At 45.6% G+C, this 4880-nt stretch overlaps 1 annotated feature.

Annotated features, from left to right (window-relative positions):
- Positions 2644 to 2938: an enhancer, noted in NCBI's record as "tiled region #10846; HepG2 Activating DNase matched - State 8:EnhW". NCBI's record gives its function as "activates a minimal TATA promoter and a strong SV40 promoter by Sharpr-MPRA in HepG2 cells {active_cell/tissue: HepG2}" and the evidence as "EXISTENCE:reporter gene assay evidence [ECO:0000049][PMID:27701403]".

Here is a 4880-nt window from a genome sequence, read left to right as displayed (position 1 = left end):
CCAGGTCGCCAAGTGCCAGTGGTCACTCAGTTCTCAATTTATTTGAATCCTTTGTAACAGAAAACATGATGGAGCATCCCTATCTAAGGTTCCAGAATTTCTTTAATTCTTTACATCCTCCACCCCACTTGATTGTCTTTCTCTGCCTCTTTAGGATCCTTTCTCATACATTCCCAGCATCCCTTTCACATCAGAAACTCAAGACCTCAAAGTTGGGTGAAAAAATCATTTCTCTCCAGCATGCTTGGAGTCAGGATTTGTTCACTATACATAGCCAATACATAATAGAAAAACTTAGCTGGGATGCATGTTGACCACAAAAACTCATAGTTCAGATAAGCTTTGTTCAGATTCCAAAATTCAAATTTTCCAAGAAAGAGAATCTGATAGACTCAGCTTGGGCCATGTGGCCCTCCCTGGGTCAGTTAACTACCAGTTGGGGTCCTGCATGATGTCGCCATGACTGCCCACCTTGGGAGCCCAGTGGAGGCATTGCTGAAAGAGGGAGGGACTGCTGTGAGCCAGGAGGTCCCCAAGAGCCTCCCTAGAGGGTGAGGGCACAATCAGGGCCCTATGCAGATTTCCCCCTTACAAACTACCCACTCCTCAAGCAGGGGACTCCACATTTTTATTACATAAATAGTCCTTTGTTGCTACAACAAGTTGGCTTTGAAGGTGGGAAAGGTGGAGGATGAAGTTGTGAAGAAACTTTTCCCTGATCAATGAACAGGCCGTCTTCTCAAATATGTATTTTCTCTTGGATACTCTTGAGCTTTTATTCACTCTGCTTCTCTGTGCTCTGCAGGGCCCCCTCCAGAGGATGGCCAGGAGGTCTGAGGGGAACCACTAGAGTTTGAGAAATGTTGTCTTATAAGCCACTCATTTAAAGACGAAAGCTCCTCTGATTAGCACTGCTTCTGCTTCCACTCCAGGTAAGGTACCTCCCTTATTTTTGGAAATAGTGTCCCCAAACCCCTACAATAGCATAGTTCCAAGGAAAACTATCGTTCATAATTCACTCATCTCCCACTCCTGCCTTCCATTCATTTCAGAGCTGGGCAAGTGAGCCATGCTGTGTCAGTCTGAGTGATTCCACAGAATTTTAAAACTTGGAAGTTCAAATTCATTTTTGGTAGCAATGCTTGGATGATATGAGCCCTGAGAGGCCCTCAATCACATTTCCATACTGTGGAGAAGCAGGTCTGAGAGTACTGCTGAAGTGCAGAGAAAGCAAGAAGTAAGAGACAGAAAGAGTAAGAGGCCTGACAGTAATGGATTTCTGGACCCAGCTATCCCTGATGCCTTCTTCTGTCTCTTTCCTTACTACGGTTTGGAGACATAAACCAATATTTCCCTATTTTTATCCCAAGCTAGTCTGCAACTTGTAACCAAAAAGTTCTGTGGCAGAAACAATAAATGGTGAAACTAGATAATCCCAAGTGATAGTTTCCAAAAGGGGAGAACGAAGTCACAAAGGGAAGGAAGAAAAATGTTAAGGAGTATCGTAGGTCCCTCCAGCTCCTATTTTGGTAGAGAAGCCACTGGTTCACTAGGGTGCAGATATGGCCGGTGGCCTATCAACATGCCCCAACCCAGTGCTGCCAACCGAAAGCTTCCAGCCCTAAGCCTGCCTTCTCTCCACCTGAAAAGCTCCCAGATCTTCTCTGCACACACATGCCAGAGTGGCTGGAAGTGCCAGGGAGTTAACATCTGGAAGCAGCAGTGGACAATCCCAGCTCCCACACACCTCTGTCAGCATGACTGCACATATCCACATATTGTCCGAGTTCCCTACTGGGATTAGCCCTATCTCCTATACTCAGTCACCTGCTTGATAATGTACCTTTCATTGGATCTCTTCCCTCCTCTGTCTCACTACCCTGCTAGTGTTTCCACAGGTAACATTGAACTCACAATCTTTGCCTCAGTATCTCTTTCTGGGGAAATCCAAGTTAAGACAACAGATAACAGGTTTTTCTCTTGGGACTTCAACTCTCGCCAACAAGTAGAGGAATAAAGATAGCTACAAATTCGTTGATATTCCTTCCACTGAAAGGTGGGGTCTATGTTATTCTGCCCTTGAATCTGGGGAGACTCTGGGATTGCTTTGAACAATAAAATATGGTGGAAGTGGCACTGTGCTGGATCTGAAAACTCTCCCCTAAATCCAACAGCCAGGCCGTGAGAAAGCCCGAGGTGGTCACTTCAAGAGGCTGCATGGAAAGAGAGATCTGTTGGCCAGCTCCTGCCAGTCAGCCATCTCAGCTGGACATCTGACATGGGACAGAAGAAGCCACCTTGAACTTCCAGCCCACTGAGCCTTAAGATGCTTCTTCTCTTAGCCAATATGTAAATGCAATAACCTGAGAGACCCCACATGAGAATTCATCAGTTGAACCCAATCATGAGAGATAATAAATTATTATTTGAAGCCACTAAACTGGAGAGTAATTTGTTACATAAAAAATGAATAATAAGAACACTGGACAATCTTGGATTTTTGAAAAAGACATTTCAAAGTTTTCTCATTTTTTTTGTACTGCTGCTTTTGAGTTTTAATAAGATGCCATAAGAAACAAACTGGTTCAAATGGGGCCATCGGAGTGCAGATAGAAAAGAGTAAGATTATGGTGCAGACAGTGTTCCTCAGGTCATGACCATGGATGCAAAGATACTTGGACCTGACACCTGTCCACCTTGCTGAGTCATGGGGCTGGATTCTGTGCCTCAGAGTGTAAGCAAAGGTTCAGCAATCATGACATGACTCGATTTTTGGCATTGGTTGCAAGCCAACAGTCACTCAAGGCAAAATAAATATGCAAAGTTCAAAGGGATCGCATTACAGGAAAATCCCCATGCCTGTGATGGCCCAATCTGAGTCCAGCTTCAGGGCTGGCACCAGCACAGATGGGACCTGGGCTCTCACTGAGATGCTCTGTGGTTTTATCCTGGCTTCATAGTTGTATGCAATAGCTAATGACTGGGGAATGTAAACAAACAAACAAAAATGTGTTCTGGAAAGCTCACTGAATCTTGAAGGAGACAGGGGAGCCAGGCTAGGAAGCAGTGCAGCCATCAGCAGCCCAAAAACTGGCCTGGTAGAAGTACCTCTGTTTCAGCTGCTGGCTGAAGATGCACCTCTGACACTGAACACTGGGTGCTTTCCTTAGAAACTCTGCTGCGGATCCCCACAGAACCCAGGGCCAGCTGCCCAGGACCACCATCATCACAGAATGGGTTCCCAGCAGCCATGGCCACCTCATATCACAGGTGTCTTGTAAGCTGAGGGCAGGTGCCTGATTGGCAGAGGCAGGTCATGTTGACTAGGCCCCAGCTGCAAGGGAGGCTGGGAACGCACTATCCGGGCTTTTCCATTTACATAATGGGGGCCAGATTCTGCCACAGTGGGTAGAGGATCCCCAAAATATAGGAAGGTGGTTCAGATTCCAGGCACCCGGAAAGAAAAACAAATTCCGGCCAGGCACGGTGGCTCACTCCTGTAATCCCAGCACTTTGGGAGGCCGAGGTGGGCGGATCATGAGGTCAGGAGTTCAAGACCAGCCTGGCCAACATGGTGAAACCCCGTCTCTACTAAAAATACAAAAATTAGCCTGGCCTGGTGGCGGGTGCCTGTAATCCCAGCTACTCAGGAGGCTGAGGCAGGAGAATCACTTGAACCCGGGAGGCGGAGGTTGCAGTGAGCCAAGATCATGCCACTGCATTCCAGCCTGGGCAACGAGAGCAAAACCCTGTCTCAAAAAAAAAAAAAAAAAAGAAAGAAAGAAAGAGAAAAAGAAAAAACAAATTCCACCATGAGTCCTCAACATGTGAGGTCTGCCTAATTCTGCTCTCAGCTCTAAAGGCCATGAGACAAAGGGAATCTTCCAGAGGGCAGAGCTACTTAGCAAGGAGCATACAAAATCAATCTTTTATCAACCTCACCCTCCCTGCATGAGAATGTATGGTAAACATACCCTGGAATGATGTTTCTTTTTTCTTTTCTAAAGAAAGGTTTCCATCACACTCAATTGCACTGAATCTGAAAGAGCAAACTTCAATGTGGCTCACATTCCTAGTTCTAGTCAACCAAGAGTCCGCAGTTGCACTCTTGTACTTGCTGCAGCGTGGTTCTGTGAACCAAAAAATTCCCCTTTTTAAGTAAGTCAGATTTTATTATATTTCTGTCACTTGCAATTTAATTAATTATGATTCTGAGACTAAGTAATGTTACCCTGGGCACAGTTGCTCCGTACCTGCCAGCACCCTGATTAAACCAAGGAGGTTTCAGAGTTGATGTGTCAGTTAGTTTTTGTGGCATAACAAACCACTTAACAATGTGGCAACTTCAAACAGTACACATTTATTATTGGTCATGATTCTGTGTGTTACTGGGCAACTCTGCAGAACTGTCTAGGGTTGGTTGATCTTAGTTGGGTTTGTTCATGTGTCTGAGGTCTACTGAAAAGGTTGGTTGGAATTTGGCTGGTCCAAGATGACCTCAGTCACATGACTGGTGGTTGGTTGGCTGTCATGTGAGATGATGGGAGCAATTGGGCCTCATTCTCCAGCAGGCTAACCTGGCTTTATTCACACAGTGGTTTAGTTGATTTCTAAAAGGGGTTGTGGAACTTCTTGTAACTGGCACCTGTCACTTCCTCTGACTTCTATTGGCCAAACCTGGTCAAACTCAGGGTCAATGAAGAGGGAAACTGATCCTGCCTTTTGATGAGTGGAGGTGCATAGAACTGTGACCATTTTTCCATCTACCACAACTGAAGAAAATAAAACAAATGAAATACTTTCAGTTTCCACTGGGGACACACGGCTCCCTGAAAATCTTTAGAAGCTTTTCTCAGGAGGCCCCAAAGAAGAGATTTTCC

The sequence above is a fragment of the Homo sapiens genome, chromosome 20 (assembly GCF_000001405.40).
Source record: "Homo sapiens chromosome 20, GRCh38.p14 Primary Assembly".
In the NCBI taxonomy this organism is placed as follows: domain Eukaryota; kingdom Metazoa; phylum Chordata; class Mammalia; order Primates; family Hominidae; genus Homo; species Homo sapiens.
The sequence above is the reverse complement of the archived record's forward strand: the minus strand, read 5'-3'. Positions and strand labels throughout refer to the sequence as shown.